At 50.1% G+C, this 21,483-nt stretch overlaps 1 protein-coding gene across 2 annotated transcripts in view, besides 6 other annotated features; it reads left to right on the top strand.

Moving 5' to 3' along the window:
• The window catches only part of GRB2 (growth factor receptor bound protein 2), an 87,603-nt gene extending 78,866 nt beyond the window's left edge, over positions 1–8,737 (top strand). The window contains exons 4-6 of one of the 2 annotated variants that reach the window (NM_002086.5): positions 793–915; positions 4,986–5,154; positions 6,260–8,737. In NM_002086.5, the coding sequence (NP_002077.1) occupies positions 793–915; positions 4,986–5,154; positions 6,260–6,445 (478 nt within the window). In that variant the 3' untranslated portion in view covers positions 6,446–8,737. The remainder of the gene's footprint in view (positions 1–792; positions 916–4,985; positions 5,155–6,259) is intronic. The other variant, NM_203506.3, reaches the window with a different exon arrangement.
• Positions 3,366–3,555: an enhancer, noted in NCBI's record as "active region_12755". NCBI's record gives its function as "activates an Ori minimal core promoter by ATAC-STARR-seq in GM12878 lymphoblastoid cells {active_cell/tissue: GM12878}" and the evidence as "EXISTENCE:reporter gene assay evidence [ECO:0000049][PMID:35858748]".
• Positions 5,811–7,010: an enhancer, noted in NCBI's record as "P300/CBP strongly-dependent group 1 enhancer chr17:73315884-73317083 (GRCh37/hg19 assembly coordinates)". NCBI's record gives its function as "activates an origin of replication core promoter dependent on BRD2, BRD4, P300/CBP, MED14 and CDK7 cofactors, with strong dependence on P300/CBP, by STARR-seq in HCT116 cells {active_cell/tissue: HCT116}" and the evidence as "EXISTENCE:reporter gene assay evidence [ECO:0000049][PMID:35650434]".
• Positions 5,811–7,060: a biological region, named in NCBI's record as "P300/CBP strongly-dependent group 1 enhancer GRCh37_chr17:73315884-73317083".
• Positions 6,921–7,060: an enhancer, noted in NCBI's record as "active region_12754". NCBI's record gives its function as "activates an Ori minimal core promoter by ATAC-STARR-seq in GM12878 lymphoblastoid cells {active_cell/tissue: GM12878}" and the evidence as "EXISTENCE:reporter gene assay evidence [ECO:0000049][PMID:35858748]".
• Positions 10,069–10,318: an enhancer, noted in NCBI's record as "active region_12753". NCBI's record gives its function as "activates an Ori minimal core promoter by ATAC-STARR-seq in GM12878 lymphoblastoid cells {active_cell/tissue: GM12878}" and the evidence as "EXISTENCE:reporter gene assay evidence [ECO:0000049][PMID:35858748]".
• Positions 10,669–10,818: an enhancer, noted in NCBI's record as "active region_12752". NCBI's record gives its function as "activates an Ori minimal core promoter by ATAC-STARR-seq in GM12878 lymphoblastoid cells {active_cell/tissue: GM12878}" and the evidence as "EXISTENCE:reporter gene assay evidence [ECO:0000049][PMID:35858748]".

Here is a 21,483-nt window from a genome sequence, read left to right as displayed (position 1 = left end):
CTCTCCTCTTCCTCTTGATAAGCCACAGCCAGTTGCTTCACAGTTTTTCATGAATTTAGCCACTTTTTCTTCTGGCCAAGGTGAATCAGCAATTGGGAGCAGAAGAGTCTGCAACTTGCCTCAAAAATCTGAATTTTGCAGCTAGCTGCTGAGCATATGGTAAATTACAATATTCCTGGTGGCTTCTGAAAGCTGAACTCTGAGCAGTGGCCCCAGAGGCAGGCCTTGAGAGGAATGCTGACCTTAGTTACTGGTAGAGGCACCCTCATACTATCTGAACCTTTTGCCTTTGGGCTGTTAGCAAAAGTAACCCTGCCTCCAGCTCCTGGCCGTCCAGGTTTCCTCCCCACTTTCCCTTAGTCCCACTGTGGTGAAGCTGTGATCTTATCACATGGCTGCAGGAAGGGGCCAGTCTCTCCTTGGCAGTTCATCCCGTACACCAAGCCCAAAGGCCTGAGCTTTTCCCCAGGCGCCTTTGTCATGAGTCAGTAGGGAGTCCAGTGGGCTTTGGCCTGGGGGGCCCATTTTCAAATGTCTCCCTCTATAGAAAGAGTGACCCACGGTTAGTGCCTTGGTGAGTCGCTTTCTGGGAAATGGAGTAGGCTAAAGACCTTTGAAGGTCCATCTCTGGGGACCCAACCCAGTGTCGATCTTGGGCACTGTGAGGCTGGAGGATGAGGAGGGAGGCCCCTTCCTCTGGCAAGGAGTGTTGTGTTACTCACATTTTGAAGGCTGGATATCCCGTTTCTTTGTGGGGAAGCAGATGTTGACCAGCTTGCCTTCCTTCCTTAGGTGGTTTTTTGGCAAAATCCCCAGAGCCAAGGCAGAAGAAATGCTTAGCAAACAGCGGCACGATGGGGCCTTTCTTATCCGAGAGAGTGAGAGCGCTCCTGGGGACTTCTCCCTCTCTGTCAAGTAAGTATTTCCTGCTGCAGTTGCCTGGAATCCTGTCTCTGACTGATCCAAATTGTGAAGCCGTTGGTCAGGTGCCTGGCTACACACAAAATGGTGGAGGCTTAGCCTAAACAGTTTCTTCATTTCACATTAAAATCCTAATTTCTGGCTCCTCTCAAAATGAGTTCTAGAAGCACTGGATGTAGATTCCCATGTGGACACAGCCTTCAGGAGGTGAGCAGCAGCTCCCTGCAGCCAGCTGGAGCCTGCCAGTTTTCCCTAGTGCCCAGCACTCCTGAGCTTCTGCCCTCCAAGGGATTCCCGCAGCTCTCTCTAATGGGATAGTGGAGCGCCTGTCGGCTGCCTTGGCTTGCCTTGCTCAGGTCCACTGACTTAAATCAACCAGCCCCATCCTAGGCCCTCACAGTCACTTAAGAAGGCTGCTGCAGGGGATGTGGGGCTTGCATTTCCCCGGTGGAAAGTTCAGGTGTGAAAGGGAGCGGGTAAGCAGGGAATGGAGAAGACAGGAAGTTCTGCCGCCATGGAGAGTGTGGAGAATAGAAACCAGCACTTGAAGATTCTAAACAATTCACACCTCAGCTGTGAAGTCGGGATTTTGAATTAAATTGTTATTTCCATGTTTTTTACTTTCAGTTATTTTCTAGTTAATGTATTATCATAGGACCCTCCCCAGGAGTCCGGCAGATCACTTCATCAGTTATATATAAAGAAGTAATTAGATTCAACACTCAGATCACTACTTAGTTTAGATTACATTAAGATTGTTTTGTTTTTGAATGGGGGATAGAAAACCATTTTCCTTTTATTTTATTTACTTATTTTTGAGACAGAGTCTCGCTCTGTCCCCCAGGCTGGAGTCCAATGGCATGCCTCAGCTCACTGCAACCTCCACCTCCCAGGTTCAAGCAGTTCTCCCTGCCCCACCCTCCGAGTACCTGGGATTACAGGTGCCTGACACCACGCCCGGCTTATTTTTGTATTTTTAGTAGAGATGGGGTTTTGCCATATTGGCCAGGCTGGTCTTGAACTCCTGACCTCAGGTGATCCACCCACCTCGACCTCCCAAAGTGCTGGGATTACAGGCTGGAGCCACTGCTTCCAGCCACCATTTCCCATTTATAACTGATGTAAAGCGTGAGACTTTTCCATTTCAAAAATGAACTGACCAGCCTGGCCAACATGGTGAAACCCTGTTTCTGCTAAAAATAGAAAATAACCCAGGCATAGTGGCACACACCTGTAGTCCCAGCTACTTGGGAGGCTGAGGCCAGAGAATCATTTGAATCCAGGAGGCGGAGGTTGTAGTGAGGCGAGATGGCGCCATTGCACTTTAGCCTGGGCGAAGAGCAAAACTCTGTCTCCAAAAAAAAAAAAAAAAAAAAAAAAAAAACTGGGTGCGGTGGCTCACACCTGTAATCCCAGCACTTTGGGAGGCCGAGGCAGGCAGATCACCTGAGGTCAGAAGTTCGAGACCAGCCTGGCGAACATGGTAAAACCCTGTCTCTACTAAAAAAAAAAAAAAAAAAAAAAATACAAAAATGGCCTCGGCGTGGTGGCGTGTGCCTGTAATCCCAGCTACTCAGGAGGCTGAGAGAGAAGAATCACTTGAACCCGAGAGGCAGATGAGCCAAGATCGTGCCACTACACTCCAGCCTGAGTGACAGAGTAAGACTGTGTCTCCCAAAACAAACAAACAAACTGAATATCTTATTTGGTTTTAGAACCACTTAATGTGTGATTAAAATGTAGATTTTTTTTTTGAAACGTAGATTTTAAATTTATAGTTGTGGCCCGGCATGGTGGCTCATGCCTGTAATCCCAGCCCTTTAGGAGGCTGAGGCGGGCCGATCATGAGGTCAGGAGTTTGAGACCAGCCTGACCAATATGGTGAAACACTGTCCCTACTAAAAAAATACAAAAATTAGCCAGGCGTGGTGGCACATGCCTGTATTCCCAGCTACTCCGGAGGCTGAAGCAGGAGAATCACTTGAACCTAGGAGGCAGAGGTTGCAGTGAGCCGAGACTGAGCCATTGCATTCCAGCCTGGGTGAAAGAGCAAGACTCCATCCATCTTTAAAAAAAAAAAAAAAAGAAAAGAAAAACATGTGTGACACCTGTCTTTCTTTAGTTTTATACTGACCCAAGTGTAACTGAAACCTTATAAGATGAGGGGAACAAGCAGTAAATCACTGGGTGGTGGCCAAAACCACGGGGGCAGCCACGTGCTCGGCTGGACGCTGCCTGTTTGCTCAGCAGAAACTCTCAAACTTCCATTTTCTCAAGTAGAATCTTTTAAGGATTTAATGCATTTATTGTTTTAGAAGCAAAGCAGGTGTCATGACTCTCTTTAACAACACACACACCTCTGCAAAAAAGGTTCAAGAATCAACAGTTGTCAGATGTTTCTTAGTTTTAGGATGTTTTGAGCCTGTGATTTGAAACACTGCTCATTATTGGGGCCCTGGGCTCTTAGAAACCACCTGCATTGCATGGGTGGAAGTGGGCCTCTGTGGGGCCAGAAGTGCCGTGGAATATACCCTTGCTAATGAAGCTTTCTCACCTTCCACATTTTGTCTTAACATGTAAAGCAGTATTTTTTCCAAATGCGAGGCATCTTGTGCTGAGTGGCTTCCTTGAGGCTCAGTGCTGCCACCTGCCGGATTGATTTTCTGAAGCCTTTGGTTTCCATCAGCTGAAAGACTGAAGGAGAGGAGGGACTCATTCATTCATTGAACAAGCACTCTCAGAGAATGCCTTTTTTTTTTTTTTTTTTTTTAATGAGATGGAGTGTCACTCTGTCGCACAGGCTGGAGTACAGTGGCCCAATCTCGGCTCACTGCAAGCTCCTCCTCCCGGGTTCACACCATTCTCCTGCCTCAGCCTCCCGAGTAGCTGTGACTACAGGCATCTGCCACCACACCTGGCTAATTTTTTGTATTTTTAGTAGAGACGGGGTTTCACTGTGTTAGCCATGGTGGTCTCGATATCCTGACCTTATGATCCGCCCACCTCGGCCTCCCAAAGTGCTGGGATTACAGGCATGAGCCACCGCATCCGGCCGAGAATGCCGAGAGTGCCCGGCCAGGTGAACAGGACAGGCAGAAGCGCCCTCGCTAGGCTGGTGTTTTAGCCAAATATCCTGTGACAGACCCTGTGAGCTAGTACCAGCCAGCCACGCTGTTGCCGGTTTTGCTTGCCAGTATAAAAGGGTGTGATCTAGTGATGGAGAAGCTTTTGGGTTTTGAAGTCTGGGCCTCTTTTATTGTCCCAGTACGTCCTTTTGTTCAGAGACCTTTTCCCCATGAGTGGAGCTAAAATTCCTGAATGGAAAACATTACTTTGAACTATTCCCAGTTACGAGAGAATTGTTGAAAGTATTTCCAGCCCTCCTCACCTTCTTCCTGCATATAAGATTTTAATTATTTTTTTATTCAAAGGATGTTAAGTCACACTCCTTTGTCTTAAGTACGGCTGTTTTTATTTGGTAGGGTTCAGGGCACATGGACTCTTTTTTTTTTTTTTTTTGAGACAGAGTTTCACTCTTGTTACCCAGGTTGGAGTGCAATGGCGCGATCTCAGCTCACCACAACCTCGGCCTCCCAGGTTCAAGTGATTCTCCTGCCTCAGCCTCCCGAGTAGCTGGGATTACAGGCATGCACCATCATGCCCAGCTACTTTTGTATTTTTAGTAGAGATGGGATTTCTCCATGTTGGCCAGGCTGGTCTCGAACTCCCGACCTCAGGTGATCTGCCCACCACGGCCTCCAAAGTGTTGGGATTACAGGTGTGAGCCACCGCACCCGGCCTGGACTCTTTATCTTACAAACATCTTCAGAATGAGAATGACTGATGGCCTGTCCCTCTCTGGTTTCTGGATGTTGTCCTGGTGCCCATCATTCATAGGGAGAGGTCCGTCCCAGGGACACCCAGTGAGGAAACTTGTTGCTCTGCAGTCCCTGAGGAGTGCTGCTGGGACAGTGGTTCTCTCGAGATAGCTCCTATATGGAAATACCCTCGATTTGCCAAGTTAGAGCCTTTAGCCGGTCACATGTGCTTTCTGTCCCTCCCAGGTTTGGAAACGATGTGCAGCACTTCAAGGTGCTCCGAGATGGAGCCGGGAAGTACTTCCTCTGGGTGGTGAAGTTCAATTCTTTGAATGAGCTGGTGGATTATCACAGATCTACATCTGTCTCCAGAAACCAGCAGATATTCCTGCGGGACATAGAACAGGTGCCACAGGTAAGCCTCATCAGGGTGAGATGGGATCATTTTTAGTTAAGAATAGCTCCTCAGTGTGCATTCCTGTAGGAAAGGGGAGGCGCCCCTCAACATGCGGGCGCCCTTCAGGGATTGCCGCTGGGGCTTCTGTGCTCCTTACTGAAAATGTTACCCTCCATTCACACTAAAGAGTTCTTTTTTCTGGCCCAGCATAGTAGCTCACACCTATAATCCCAGCACTTTGGGAGGCCGAGGCAGGCAGATCTCTTGAGGTCAGGTGTTTGAGACTAGCCTGGCCAACATGGTGAAACCCTGTCGCTACTAAAAATACAAAAATTAGCTGGATGTGGTGGCGCACACCTGCAGTCCCAGCTACTCGGGAAGCTGAGATGGAAAAATTGCTTGAACCCAGGAGGTGGAGATTGTAGTGAGCTGAGATTGCACCACTGCACTCCAACCTGGGCGACAGAGGGAGACTTCATTTCAAAAAAAAAAAAAAAAAAAAAAAAAGATTTGTTGTTTCAAATACAAGGTTTTTGCTTTTCCAGAGGCAGTGTGTAGCCAGCTTGCCAGCCTCTCTAGGGAGATGGTCTTTAACACACCCACCCAAAGATCCTGTCCCTGGAAGCAAATTATGAGGAAAACTATGCTTGTGAGGGAATGGGGTCGGCACCCGTTCCTGTCCCTCGAGCCCTGGTCGTAAGTTACGGTTAGAGCCCCTTATGTTATTCGAGCTCCAGAACTTTAGGCTTTAATACCTTAAGGGTGTCGTAGAAGGGATTTGCGATTCTGGGCCCACGGCCTAAACACAGATGGCTGTTTCTGAAGAACTTTCTCCTCCAAGCACTGCCTGCCCTCTACTTGATAATACGGCACAGTTGGCCACCCTCCTCTGGGAGACATACTCTAATATTTTCTGAGCACTGGGAAATATCACACTAAACCCGCTTGGCCTGTAAACTTAGAATAGGTAAGAATAAACGGGGGGTTGGGAGATGGGAGGTGAGTTTAAGAAACATGGAGAATTTGGCACGCATTCGTTTCCCCCTGGAACCCATCTGGCCTCGGAGGTGGCCAGTCACAGACCAGGAATGCAATGTGGGTTTTTCCTGCTCCTGTTTTGCAGCAGCCGACATACGTCCAGGCCCTCTTTGACTTTGATCCCCAGGAGGATGGAGAGCTGGGCTTCCGCCGGGGAGATTTTATCCATGTCATGGATAACTCAGACCCCAACTGGTGGAAAGGAGCTTGCCACGGGCAGACCGGCATGTTTCCCCGCAATTATGTCACCCCCGTGAACCGGAACGTCTAAGAGTCAAGAAGCAATTATTTAAAGAAAGTGAAAAATGTAAAACACATACAAAAGAATTAAACCCACAAGCTGCCTCTGACAGCAGCCTGTGAGGGAGTGCAGAACACCTGGCCGGGTCACCCTGTGACCCTCTCACTTTGGTTGGAACTTTAGGGGGTGGGAGGGGGCGTTGGATTTAAAAATGCCAAAACTTACCTATAAATTAAGAAGAGTTTTTATTACAAATTTTCACTGCTGCTCCTCTTTCCCCTCCTTTGTCTTTTTTTTCATCCTTTTTTCTCTTCTGTCCATCAGTGCATGACGTTTAAGGCCACGTATAGTCCTAGCTGACGCCAATAATAAAAAACAAGAAACCAAGTGGGCTGGTATTCTCTCTATGCAAAATGTCTGTTTTAGTTGGAATGACTGAAAGAAGAACAGCTGTTCCTGTGTTCTTCGTATATACACACAAAAAGGAGCGGGCAGGGCCGCTCGATGCCTTTGCTGTTTAGCTTCCTCCAGAGGAGGGGACTTGTAGGAATCTGCCTTCCAGCCCAGACCCCCAGTGTATTTTGTCCAAGTTCACAGTAGAGTAGGGTAGAAGGAAAGCATGTCTCTGCTTCCATGGCTTCCTGAGAAAGCCCACCTGGGCTGGGCGCGGTGGCTCACGCCTGTAATCCCAGCACTTTGGGAGGCCAAGGTGGGCGGATCACAAGGTCAGGAGTTCGAGACCAACCTAGCCAACATGGTGAAACCCCGTCTCTACTAAAAATAAGAAATTAGCCGGGTGTGGCACGCACCTGTAGTCCCAGCTACTTGGGAGCCTGAGGCAGGAGAATCGCTTGAACCTGGGAAGTGGAGGTTGAGTGAGCCGGGACCGTGCCATTGTACTCCAGCCTGGGTGACAGAGCGAGATTCCGTCTCAAAAAAAAAAAAAAAAAGCCCACCTGAAAGCCTGTCTCTTTCCACTTTGTTGGCCCTTCCAGTGGGATTATCGAGCATGTTGTTTTTTCATAGTGCCTTTTTCCTTATTTCAAGGGTTGCTTCTGAGTGGTGTTTTTTTTTTTTTTTTAATTTGTTTTGTTTTAAAATAAGTTAAAGGCAGTCCAGAGCTTTTCAGCCAATTTGTCTCCTACTCTGTGTAAATATTTTTCCCTCCGGGCAGGGGAGCCAGGGTAGAGCAAAGGAGACAAAGCAGGAGTGGAAGGTGAGGCGTTCTCCTGCTTGTACTAAGCCAGGAGGCTTTAAGCTCCAGCTTTAAGGGTTGTGAGCCCCTTGGGGGTTCAGGGAACTGCTTGCCCAGGGTGCAGTGTGAGTGTGATGGGCCACCGGGGCAAGAGGGAAGGTGACCGCCCAGCTCTCCCACATCCCACTGGATCTGGCTTACAGGGGGGTCGGAAGCCTGTCCTCACCGTCTCGGGGGTTGTGGCCCCCGCCCCCTCCCTATATGCACCCCTGGAACCAGCAAGTCCCAGACAAGGAGAGCGGAGGAGGAAGTCATGGGAACGCAGCCTCCAGTTGTAGCAGGTTTCACTATTCCTATGCTGGGGTACACAGTGAGAGTACTCACTTTTCACTTGTCTTGCTCTTAGATTGGGCCATGGCTTTCATCCTGTGTCCCCTGACCTGTCCAGGTGAGTGTGAGGGCAGCACTGGGAAGCTGGAGTGCTGCTTGTGCCTCCCTTCCCAGTGGGCTGTGTTGACTGCTGCTCCCCACCCCTACCGATGGTCCCAGGAAGCAGGGAGAGTTGGGGAAGGCAAGATTGGAAAGACAGGAAGACCAAGGCCTCGGCAGAACTCTCTGTCTTCTCTCCACTTCTGGTCCCCTGTGGTGATGTGCCTGTAATCTTTTTCTCCACCCAAACCCCTTCCCACGACAAAAACAAGACTGCCTCCCTCTCTTCCGGGAGCTGGTGACAGCCTTGGGCCTTTCAGTCCCAAAGCGGCCGATGGGAGTCTCCCTCCGACTCCAGATATGAACAGGGCCCAGGCCTGGAGCGTTTGCTGTGCCAGGAGGCGGCAGCTCTTCTGGGCAGAGCCTGTCCCCGCCTTCCCTCACTCTTCCTCATCCTGCTTCTCTTTTCCTCGCAGATGATAAAAGGAATCTGGCATTCTACACCTGGACCATTTGATTGTTTTATTTTGGAATTGGTGTATATCATGAAGCCTTGCTGAACTAAGTTTTGTGTGTATATATTTAAAAAAAAAATCAGTGTTTAAATAAAGACCTATGTACTTAATCCTTTAACTCTGCGGATAGCATTTGGTAGGTAGTGATTAACTGTGAATAATAAATACACAATGAATTCTTCACTTGGTATCTTTTTTTCCCCTTGCCTGCCTTAAAAATTTAAAAACCGCATCGGGGAGTCAGGAATCTTGGGTCCTTATTTCAGACGTGATCACCCAGCTTACATCCCCCTAGGGGAGCATGTGGGGCTCACAGGCCTTCCTGGGAGCGATGCCTGCAGTTGGCTGTCAGGAACTCCTGGGGAGCCTGTTAACAATACAGAATCGCAAACCCCGCCCCACATCCTCGGACATTGCCTTTGAGGACACAGACACGCCCGCTGTTTCTGATGTAGAGAAACCACTGACCACGCTTTGGGAACTCTGGTCTAGACCAAGGGCTTTGGGAAGATAAAGAGCTTGGCTTATTTGGTTCTCCTGTTTTCTGTGTTAAACAAGAAGAAGGACAGAAACACCTGTGAAGAAACGGTTTTAATATGCTGAGTAACTGAAATATACTTGTTTGCTCAATAGGCTGCTTTTAGGGTGAGACTAGGCATATTTACACACACGTTGGCTACAGAGGCAAAGAAGACTGAACAAAAAAGAAATGAGGTCTGGCCATGGTAGCTCATGCCTGTAATCCCAGCACTTTGAGAGGCCAAGGTGGGGGATCACTTGAGCCCAGGAGTTTTGAGGCCAGTCTGGGCAGCATAGGGAGACTCCCTGCCTCTCTACAAAAAGCAAATTAGCCAGATGCAGTGGCGCACGCCTGTAGTGAGGATTACTTGGGAGGCTGAGGTGGATCACTTGAGCCCAGGAGGTCAAGACTACAGTGAGCTGTGGTTGCACCACTGCACTCCAGCCTGGGCAACAGGGTGAGACCTTGTCTCGAAAAAGTAATAAAAAGGGGACAGGCAGGGTGGCTCACACCTGTAATCCCAGCACTTTGGGAGACTGAAGCGGGTGAATCACAAGGTCAGGAGTTCAAGACCAGCCTGGCCAACATGGTGAAACCCCATCTCTACTAAAAATACAAAAATTAGCCAGCTGTGGTGGCAGGTGTCTGTAGTCCCAGCTACTCGGGAGGCTGAGGCAGGAGAATCGCTTGAACCCGGGAGGTGGAGGTTACAGTGAGCCGAGATTGCACCACTGCACTCCAGCCTGGGTGACAGAGCTAGGTTCCCTCTCAAAAAAATAAAATAAAATAAAAAATAAAGGTAATAAGGGCCAGGCTCAGTGGCTTACGCCTGTAATCCTAACACTTTGAGAGGCTGAGGCGGGTGGATTGCTTGAGCTCAAGAATGCCACACCAGCCTGGGCAACATAGTGAAACCCATCTCTACCAAAAATTAGCTGAGTGTGGTGATGCACACCTGTGGTCCCAGCTACTCAGGAGGCTGAAGTGGAGGTTGCAGTGAGCTGTCATGCCACTATACTCCAGCCTGAGAGACAGACCTCTCTCAAAAAAAAAAAAAAAATACCCAAGAAATCTCGACTTGAATTCTTCTTGGTGTAGCCACACTGAGCAGGGGAGGCTTGTGGGTTGTTTTGTTTTGTGACAGGGTCTTTATCTGCCACCCAGGCTGGAGTGCTACGGTGCAATCATAGCTCACTGCAGACTCAATCCCCTGGGCTCAAGTGATCACCTCAGCCTCCCAAGTAGCTGGGACTGTAGGCATACACTACTGCACCCAAGTAGCTGGGACTACAGGCATACGCTACTGCACCCAAGTAGCTGGGACTACAGGCATACGCTACTGCACCTGGCTAATTTCATTTTTTTTTGTACAGTGGGGTCTGTGTTTCCCAGGCTGGTCTCAGACTCCTGGGCTCAAGAGATCCCCCCACCCTTGGCCTTTCAAAGTGCTGGAAATCCAGGCGTGAGCTGTGCCTGGCCTGGGACGTTTTTGACCTTCCCCTGCAGCAGTCATGTGTGGGAAGGATCTTGACCCAGCAAGAGTCAAGACTGCTAGTCCTGTGGTCCACTTGGGCTGGCCTCCTTGAAGCTGAGCAGAAGTTTACAAAATGGAGCTATGTAATTGAAAAGGCCGGGCGTGGTGACTCATTTAGCCTCATTTGAGGCTTTTTGCTCAATTTGTCCCCTCCCTCGCGTTTGACTGACTGTTTCAGAATTAATGGGAAAATCACTCCTTTTCTGTGATCAGCAGTTTGGTCACAGATTTCTTAGTGATGGTATCTCCCTCCTCAGGGATCCGGGATTCCTGGGAAGACATCTGGGCGGGGTGCCTTGGGAAGCCTCCCAGCATCTTACAGGAGCCCTGTGGCCGGCGTGCAGCCGGGAGTCGCTCAGTGTGTCAGGGGAAAAGCTGGAGGTAGGCGCATGGCCTCGCTCTTCAGGGCACGCCCCCCCCACCCCTCCCTGACACGCTTCCCTCCACCCAGTGAGCTGGGAGCCCCTGACAGGCTCACCTTCAGACTTGAGTGTGGAGGAGATGGTGACCCACAGCGCGGGGCTGCTTAGGTGGCCTCTGAGCCAAAGGCCATGATGGCGCAGGCTGCCTGCCTTCCCTGGGCACTAGTTCCACCTGACTGTTCATGGGGTGGGTGACCTTCAGCCCAAAACGTTCGCTTTATGGAAGTTCCTGGATAACTGGAAAAAATGACAGTGGACCTGTTTTATGCGTCTTGGAAATACTTTTTTTTTCTTTTTTTTTTTTTTGAGACAGAGTCTCCGTCTGTCCCCTAGGCTGGAATGCAGTGGCACGATCTTGGCTCACTGCAACCTCCACCTCCCGGGTTCAAGTGATTCTCCTGCCTCACCCTCCTAAGTAGCTGGGATAACCAGCTCCTGCCACCACGCCCAGCTAATTTTTGTACCTGGGGTCAGGAGTTCAAGACCAGCCTGGCCAACGTGGTGAAACCCTGTCTCTACTAAAAATACAAAAATTAGGTGGGCGTGGTGGCGGGCACCTGTAATCACAGCTACTCGGCAGGCTGAGTCAGGAGAATCGCTTGAACCCGGGAGGCAGAGGTTGCAGTGAGCCGAGATCGCGCCATCACACTCCAGCCTGGGCGACAGAGTGAGACTCCGTCTCAAAAAAAAAAGAGTACAATTCTGTGTGCCAACAGCACTGATAGATCAATATTACATGTTAGTGATATTGATTAAGCCACTTACTGCTTAGTGCATTCCAAACACTACTTTTAAAACTAACACTAAAAGCCATACTATACCCCGTCCAAAAAAGAAATCACTAAGACGTATTTTAAGTCTCAACTCTGGCCCACCCAAGAGCAACACTGGTCTTAGGTCTCCAAGGACAGCCTTCTTTTTTTCTTTTTTCTTTTTTTTTTTTCAGTTGGAGTCTGGCTCTGTTGCTGGAGTACAGTGGCGCCATCTCAGCTCATTGCAACCTCCGCTTCCTGGGTGCAAGCGATTCTGCTGCCTCAGCTTCCCGAATAGCTCGGACTACAGGCGCCCGCCACCACACCCAGCTAATTTTTGTATTTTTAGTAGAGATGGGGTTTCACCATGTTGGCCACGATGGTCTTGATCTCCTGACCTCGTGATCTGCCCACCTTGGCCTCTAAAGTGCTGGGATTACAGGCGTGAGCCACCAGGCCCTGCCCCAGCCTTTTTTTTTTTTAACATTCCTGGATTCGGGTTGAGAAAGCACAGCTATTGCAGCCATTCTCTGAGTGTGAGTCGTGGCGTCAGCAGTGTTGGCCTCCAAAATAGCAGCTGCCAGGTCCTGAGGGCTCGCCTCGTGCTGCAGGCCTGTGCAAGGGCCCGAGCCTGGGGTGAAAGGGTGGATGTTTGCCTCCTGCTGTAACCCCACCCCTCATCCTGCGCTGTGCTAGGGAAGCAAGGGGCGAGGGTGTACCCTTTTTCATTTACTCTGTTACACATGTGTTGCCCACACCTGTAGGGATTGATGGTGAACGTCATTCCTGGGGCGTGTGGAATTGGAGGCAATTATCTCCCCTCTAACTGGAGGCTGAGGAGGGCCCCCGTGTCTTCTCACACCATCAACCACCGCTTTCCATTCCTGCACGGTGGCATTGCTGCCCTGAGTCACCCTGAAACTGGAAACTGCCCCACTGGAGCCTTCTGTCCTTGACACAGACGCACTCTTCAGTCCTGATCCTTGTATTATGCAAGCCCTTGCATGAGAGAGACTCAAAGAGGAAATGTAGACAGCACAGGCTCAAAGGGAGGCTTGGAGGCAGATGGGACTTGCCCTGGGGATTGGGTGAAATGAGTTTGGACAGTTACTAATAGGACAGTAGACACCCAGAGCAGGTGGTCTAGTAGAGGCGTGGCGGTGTTAGCGAGCACCTGCCTGGACATGGCTTGAGGGAGCCTGAGTAGCCTCCTGCAACGAGGAAGAAAGAGCCCAGGTGGGGTTTGTGGGGGACTCGAATGCAGGCTGAGCGATGCCCATTCTGCCTGTTGACACAGGAGGCTTCTGTAGCTTTTTTTTTTTTTTTTTTTTTTAAACAGAGTCTCACTCACCCAGGCTGGAGTGCCGTGGCACGATCTCAGCTCACTGCAACCTCTGCCTCTTGGGCTCAAGCAATTCTCCTTCCTCAGCCTCTCCAGTAGCTGGGATTACAGGTGTGCACCACCATGCCCAGCTAATTTTTGTATTTTTAGTAGAGATGGGGTTTTGCCATGTTGGCCAGGCTGATCTCAAACTCCCGACCTCAGGTGATCCACCCGCCCCAGCCTCCCAAAGTGCTGGGATTACAGGTGTGAGCCACCATGCCTGGCTGCTTCTGTAGCTCTTATAGATCAGCGGTACGATGAAAGATAAGTTTTAGGAACATCTGACTTGCAGTGGTGCGGAGACCAGAATCCGGATAGCCTGGAAGAGGCTAGGGTCGTGTTAGCTGAGTGAAGTCAGGCTCTGCAGCAGAGTGTGCGCAGTGCTCACCTGGCTCTCTCCCGACCAGTTGTCTGGACCATGTGCCCAACCTCCCTGCAGTTCCAAGCAGCCATGTGCTCCAGTCCTGACGTGTGTGGTGTGTTTGGGGCCTTGTGGCCTCCCCACTTTGTTGCTTCTCTTGCCTGTGGGTGGATGCAGGAGAGCCAGCAGAAGACCCAGAGCACCTGCTAGATTTGGAACATGTCTGGGGCGGGGCACAGTGGCTCATGCCTGTAATCCCAGCACTTTGGGAGGATCACTTTAGCCCAAGAGATTGAGAACAGTCTGGCAATATAGTGAGACCCTGTCTCTACAAAAAATTAGACAGACTCAGTGGTGTGCTCCTGTAGTCCCAGCTACTCAAAGAGGCTGAGGCAGGAGGATTGCCTGAGTCTGGAAGGTCGAGGCTACAGTGAGCCATGATTCTGCCACTGCACTCCAGCCTGGGCAGCAGAGACCGAGACCTCGTCTCAAAAAAATGAAACAAATATCAGCTGTGTTGCATCACTGACGGGGGGAGGAGGGTTGTCTGTTACAGCAGCCACACTGCCTATCCAGGGACAATGCTGGGGATAGGACCTGGGGAGAAACTTGAGAGGCCCAGCAAAAAATAGGAGGTTTTGGCCGGGCACGGTGGCTCACGCCTGTAATCCCAGCACTTTGGGAGGCCGAGGCGGACAGATCACCTGAGGTTGGGAGTTTGAAACTAGCCTGACCAACATGGAGAAACCCCATCTCTACTAAAAATACAAAATTAGCTGGGCATGGTGGTGCATGCCTGTAATCCCAGCTACTCAGGAGGCTGAGGCAGGAGAATCACTTGAACTCAGGAGGTGGAGGTTGCGGTGAGCCAAGATCATGCCATTGCACTCCAGCCTGGGCAACAAGAGTGAAGCTCTGTCTCAAAAAAAAAAAAAAGAAAAGAAAAAAATATGAGGTTTTGGAAAAGGAAGTAGAATTGCTTGTCATCTAAAATAGAAGGAAGCAGCAGTGACAGCTTTCGTAAGACCAGCATCTGCGCCATCTCCTTACAGATGGGGCTGGCTCTTCGGCACGAACCCCACTCTCCAGACCTAGCTGCATAGGACAAGCCAATTTCTCTCTGAATGTCTTTTTTTTTTTTTTTTTTTTTTTTTTTTTGAGACGAAGTCTTGCTTTGTCTCAGGCTGGAGTGCAGTGGCATGATCATAGCTCACTGCTTGCTTGAAGTCCTGTGCTCAAGTGATCCTCCCGCCTCAACCTCCCGAGTAGCTGGACGTGCGCACCACCATGCCCAGCTAATTAAAAAAAATTTCACAGAGATGGGGTCTCACTATATTGCCCAGACTAGTCTTGAACTCCTGCACTCAAGGGATCCTCCCGCCTCAGCCTCCCAAAGTGTTGGGATTAAAGGCATAAGCCACCACACTTGGCCTTTTTTTTTTTTTTTTTTTTTTTTCTGAGACAGAGTCTTACTCTGGAGTGCAGTGGCACGATCTCTGCTCACTCCAACCTCCGCCTCCTGGGTTCAAGTGATTCTCCTGCCTCAGCCTCTTGAGTAGATGGGACTATAGGCACCCGCCACCTTGCCTAATTTTTTTTTTTTTTTTTTTGAGATGGAGTCTCACTCTGTCGCCCAAGCTGGAGTGCAGTGGCACAATCTCGGCTCACTGTAACCTCTGCCTGCCGGGTTCAAGGAATTCTTCAGCCTCAGCCTCCCGAGTAGCTGGGACAACAGGCATGCCACCATGCCCAGCTAATTTTTTTGTAGTTTTAGTACAGATGGGGTTTCACCATGCTGGCCAGGCTGGTCTTGAACTCTTGACCTCGTGATCCACCTGCCTTGGCCTCTCAAAGGGCTGGGATTACAAGAGTGAGCCACCGTGCCTGGCCCGTGGCCTAATTTTTGTATTTTTAGTAGAGACGGGGTTTCACCAATTTGGCCAGGCTGGTCTCGAACTCCTGACCTCAAGTGATCTGCCTGCCTCGGCCTCCCAAAATGCTGGGATTACAGGCATGAGCTACTGTGCTCAGCCTTTTTTTTTTTTTTTTTTTTTTTTTTGAGACGGAGTTTTGCTCTTGTTGCCCAGGCTGGAGTGCAATGGTGCAATCTCGGCTCACCACAACCTCCAGCTCCTGGGTTCAAGCGATTCTTCTGCCTCAGCCTCCCGAGTAACTGGGATTATAGGCATGAGCCATCACACTTGGCTAATTTTGTATTTTTAGTAGAGACGGGGGTTTCTCCATGTTGATCAGGCTGGTCTCGAACTCCCAGCCTCAGGTGATCCACTCTCCTCGGCCTCCTAAAGTGCTGGGATTACAGGCATGAGCCACCGCACCCAGCCAATTTTTTTTTTTTTTTTTAAGAGACAAGAGTCTTGCTCCATGGCCCAGCCTGGAGTGCAGTGGTGTGATCATAGCTCACTGCAGCCTCAAACTCCTGGGCTCAAGCCATCCTCCCACCTCAATCTCCCAAGGAACTGGGACTACAGGTGGTACCACCACACCTAGCGAATTTTAAAATTTTTTGAAGATTTTAGGCCGAGCATGGTGACTCATGCCTGTAATCCCAGCACTTTTGGAGGCCGAGGGGGCCAGATCACCTGAGGTCAGGAGTTCACAACCAGCCTGGCCAACCTGGTGAAACCCAGTCTCTACTAAAAATACAAAAATTAGCCGGGCATGGTGGCCCACGCCTGTAATTCCAGCTGCACAGGAGGCTAAAGCAGGAGAATCACTTGAACCTGGGAGGCAGAGGTTGCAGCAAGCCGAGATGGCGTCACTGCACTCCAGCCTGGGCGACAGAGCGAGACTCTGTCTCAAAAAAAAAAAAAAAAAAAAGTTTTATGGAGATATGATCAATGTAACATTTTTAAGTGACCCATCTAAAGTATATTATTCAATGTTTTTTAGTATTCACAGTTATGCAATCATCACCACAATCCATTTTATTTTATGTTTTTTAGTAGAGACAGGGTCTCACTATGTTGCTCAGGCTGGTCTCAAACTCCTGTCCTCAAGCGACCCTCCCACCTTGGCCTCCCAAAGTGCTGGGATTACAGACATGATCCACTGTGCCAGCCACCACAATCCATTTTAGAACACTGTCATACCCCAAAAGAAACCATATACCCCAGCCTGGGCAACATGGCAAAACCTTGCCCCTACAAGAAATAACAAAAATTAGCCAGCTGTGTAATCCCAGCACTTTGGGAGGCCGAGGTGGGTGGATCACCAGAGGTCAGGAGTTTGAGACTAGCCGGGCCAATATGGTGAAACCTTGTCTCTACTAAAAATACAAAAATTAGCCAGGCGTGGTTGCGTGTGCCTGTAGTCCCAGCTACTCAGGAGGCTGAGGCAGGAGAATCACTTGAACCCGGGAGGCGGAGGTTGCAGTGAGCCAAGATCACACCATTGCACTCCAGCCTGGGCAACAGAGTGAGACTCCGTCTAAAAAAAATAAAGAAACTGCTGATGTTGTCCCAGTGAAGGGAGTGGCAGAGGGCCAAGGGCGTTGAGCTGTATTTAGGAGGAGCTGGGAAGACCTGGGGTGGAGGGAAAGGCAGGTCCAGATGGCTGCAGGGCAGTGGGGGGATCTGTGGCTTTTGTTTGTTGAGATGGGGAACTAGGGGAAGAGGGGCAGGGTGGGGTGAAGCAGAGAGAAAGGCTGGAGGGTTGGATTTGAGGTGCCTGAGGACAATCATCTAGAAAGCAGCAGGGTGTGTTCACCTGGAGCTCAGGAGACAGATCTGACAGGAGATCGAGATCCAGGTGTTGTCAGTGTGGAGGTGGCCCTGAAACCATGGCCACGGGTGAGGCCTCACATACTCCAGTCCCCATAAGGAAGCACAGCCCTGAGGGCTGGGCGAGGGGAAGGCAGGAAGCACACAGGAGAGAGGCCAGAGCGGCAGGAGGTGAGCCAAGAGTCCACAGCACCAGGGACGCCACAGGGCTCCAGGGACAGGGCTGCAGGGAAATGCTCCCTGGTACCATCCTGGTCCCGGCCCTTCGTCCCCCTCTCCCCACTGCCACAAAACCTCCTCCTGTCTCTCCACCCTGCCTCTTTCCCCAGCCTGTCCAAAGAGGGCAAAGTCCAGGCTCCTGCCCCTCAGGAGCAGTGTGATGTAGGACAAAGAGCATGAGATCGCAGGCCTGAGGCCAGGGCCTTTATTCCTCGCTGTGTGACCAGGGCCCCCTTTTTCTCCTTTTTTCTTCCTTTTTTTTTTTTTTTTTTTTTTTGAAACAGAGCAAGACTCTATCGCCCAAGCTGGAGTGCAGTGATGCAATCCCAGCTCACTGCAACCTCCGCCTCCCGGGTTCAAGCGATTCTCCCACCTCAGCTTCCCGAGTTAGGATTACAGGCACGTTCCACCATGTCTGGCTGGTTGTTTGTATTTTTAATAGAAACGGGGTTTCGCTGTGTTGCCCAGGCTGATCTTGAACTCTTGGCCTCAAGTGATCCACCCACCTCAGCCTCCCAAATTGCTGGGATTACTGGCGTGAGCCATGGCGCCTGGCCACGACCAGGGCCCTTAACCTCTCACCCCCATTCCTTCATCTGTTTAAAAATCAAACCAAGGAAAATGTCCCTAGGTTGCTCTGAGGATCCAACGTGATTATGTACACGGGTGTTTTGCAACTGCAACGATTAAGTACATCGTGACAGGTGCTGATTAGGATCTTGGCATTCAAGATCTCATACAGTCTGCACCTGGTCCAATTCTCCAAGCCTTTGGCCAACCAAATCCCTTCTGAGTCTTTGCCTTTGGTCAGCATCTACCTTTCTCCCAGATCACAGGCAAAACCTCAGCTCACTGCAACCTCCACCTCCTGGGCTCAACCAATCCTACCACGTCAGCCTCCCAAGTAGCTGGGACCACAGACACACACCACCATGTCCGGCTAAATTTTTGTATTTTTAGTAGTGATAGGGTTTCACCATGTTGCCCAGGCTGGTCTCCAACTCCTGAGCTCAATCGATCCCCCTGCACTGGCCCTCCAAAGTGCTGGGATTACAGGCGTGAGCCGCTGTGCCTGGCCTGTTTAAATCTTTGATCCATTTAAAGGTATCCTGATATCGGTGTGAGAGATGGATTCAGCTCTCCTTTTTTCCAGATGGCTATACGCTTGTCCAGATAGTATTTACTCACAGGCCACCTCTGCCCCAGCCGCTGTCCTCTCCTCTCTAACTAACCTTCAGCTCCTCCTCTCTGCTCTCTGCTTATCCCCAGCCTGTCATAAGAACTAGATCTACAGACCCCACATCTCCTGAGAACCCCTTCCTGATCAGCTCCCAGGGGGCTCTTGCTCCCCTGCAGTCTCGAAATCCCAACTGCCTGCCCCCTTCCTCCATCCTCCCTTCCTCCATCCTCCCTTCCTCCATCCTCCTGCGGGCACAGTGGCTCAATTCTGTAATCCCAGCACTTTGGGAGGCCTAGGTGGGTGGATCACTTGAGGTCAGTTTAAGACCAGCCTATTCAACATGGTAAAACCCCGTCTCTACTAAAAACACAAAAATTGGCCGGGCGCAGTGGTTCACACCTGTAATCCCAGCACTTTGGGAGGCCGAGGCAGGCGGATCACTTGAGGTCAGGAGTTCGAGACCAGCCTGGCCAACATGGTGAAACCACGTCTCTACTAAAAATACAAAAATTAGCCAGGCATGGTGGCAGGTGCCTGTAATCCCAGCTACTTGGGAGGCTGAGGCAGGAGAATTGCTTGAAGCTGGGAGGCGGAGGTTGCAGTGAGCCAAGATTGCACCATTGCACTCCAGTCTGGGTGACAGAGAGAGACTGCCTGTCAAAAAAAGCCACAAAAATTAGCCGGGTGTGGTGGAACATGCAGTAATAATCCCAGCTATTTGGGAGGCTGAGGCAAGAATCACTTGAACCCAGAAGGCAGAGGTTGCGGTGAGCTGAGTTTGCGCCACTGCACTCCAGCCTGGGCGACAGAGCAAGACTCCATCTCAAAAAAAAAAAAAAAAAAAAATTTAGGCTGAGTGTGGGTTATAAGATTACACAGGATAAGGTGTATTAAGTAACTAGCACAAGATGGGTTAATCTATGCTAGTGCCCACATCTGGTAAATCATTTTGAGTTCAGCCAGCTTCTGGTCAGCCCTGTGCCTATCCATGATTCTTATTCTGTTCTTACCGAGTGCAAAATAATTCATAGATTTTTGTTTTTTGGTTTTACAGTTTTTTTTTTTTTTGAGACAGGCTGTCACTCTGTCATCCAGGCTGCAGTGCAGTGACACAACTACAGCTCTTGTAACCTCAACTTCCCAGGCTCAAGCCATCCTCCCACCTCAGCCTCCCAAGTAGCTGACTCCAGGAACACACCACCACACCCAGCTAATTTTTATATTTTTTGTAGAGATGAGGTCTCACTATGTTACCCAGGCTGGTCTCAAACTCCTAGGCTCCAAGTGATCTCTCACCTCAGCCTCCCAAAGTGTTGGGATTACAACCACACCCATCTGTATTTTCTTTTCTTTCTTTTTTTTTTTAAGACGGATCTCGCTCTGTTGCTCAGGCTGGAGGGGCAATGGCACGATCTCAGCTCACTGCAACCTCCACCTCCTGGGTTCAAGTGATTCTCCTGCCTCAGCCTCCCGAGTAGCTGGGACTACAGACATGCACCACCACGCCTGGCTGATTTTTGTATTTTTTAGTAGAGACAGGGTTTCATCATGTTGCCCAGGCTGGTCTTGAACTCCTGACCTCCAGTGATCCACCCACCTAGGCCTCCCAAGTGCTAGGATTATAGGTGTGAGCCACTGCGCCTGGCCTGTTTAAATCTTTGATCCGTTTAAAGGTATCCTGATATCAGTGTGAGAGATGGATTCAGCTCTCCTTTTTTCCAGATGACTACACGCTTGTCCAGATAGTATTTACTCACAGGTCCATCGGCAGCCCCCTGCGAGCAGGTGCGTTCTGTATAATGAGTGTCCATGTCCTCTGTATACTGGGGTCCTGTTTCTGGGCCTCTGTTACTCTGCAGTCTGCCCGTGGGCTAGTGCGGCACACTAAGTTTCTGATGTCAGATCGGCCATTCTTTTCCCATTGCTCTTCTCAGTATGTCCTGGCTCTTCTTGTTTATCTTTTATTTTCTTTCTTTTTTTTTTGGAGACGGAATCTCGCTTTGTTGCCCAGGCTAGGGTGCAATGGCGTGATCTCGGCTCACTGCAACCTCTGACTTCCTAGTTCAAGAAATTCTCCTGCCTCAGCCTCCCGAGTAGCTGGGATTACAGGCACCCGCTACCACACCTGGCTAATTTTTGTATTTTTGTAGAGACGGGGTTCACCAGCCGGCATGGTGGCTCACACCTGTAATCTCAACATTTTGGGAGGCCAAGGCGGGCAGATCACTTGAGGTCAGGAGTTCGAGCCTGGCCAACATGGTGAAACTCTGTCTCTACTAAAAATCCAAAAATTAGCCAGGTGTGATGGCACACGCCTATAGTCCCAGCTACTCAGGAGGCTGAGGCAGGAGAATCGCTTGAACCCAGGAAGCAGAGATTGCAGTGAGCTGAGATTACGCCATGGCACTCCAGCCTGGGCAACAAAGCACGCCTCTGTCTCAAAAAAAAAAAAAAAAACGGCCAGGCGCGGTGGCTTATGCCTGTAATCCCAGCACTTTGGGAGGCTGAGGCGGGCGGATCACCAAGTCAGGAGATCGAGACCATCCTGGCTAACACAGTGAAACCCCATCTCTACTAAAAATACAAAAAATTAGCTGGGCGTGGTAGTGGGCGCCTATTGTCCTAGCTACTTGGGAGGCTGAGGCAGGAGAATGGCGTGAACCCAGGAGGCAGAGGCTGAAGTGAGCCGAGATCGCACCACTGCACTCCAGCCTGAGCAACAGAGCGAGACGCCGTCTCAAAAAAAAAAAAAAAGAGAGAGAGGAGATGAAGTTTCACCATGTTGGCCAAGCTGGTCTTGAACTCCTGACGACGTCA

This window comes from Homo sapiens, chromosome 17 (assembly GCF_000001405.40).
Source record: "Homo sapiens chromosome 17, GRCh38.p14 Primary Assembly".
NCBI lineage: Eukaryota > Metazoa > Chordata > Mammalia > Primates > Hominidae > Homo > Homo sapiens.
This window is presented reverse-complemented; position numbering and strand designations above follow the sequence as displayed.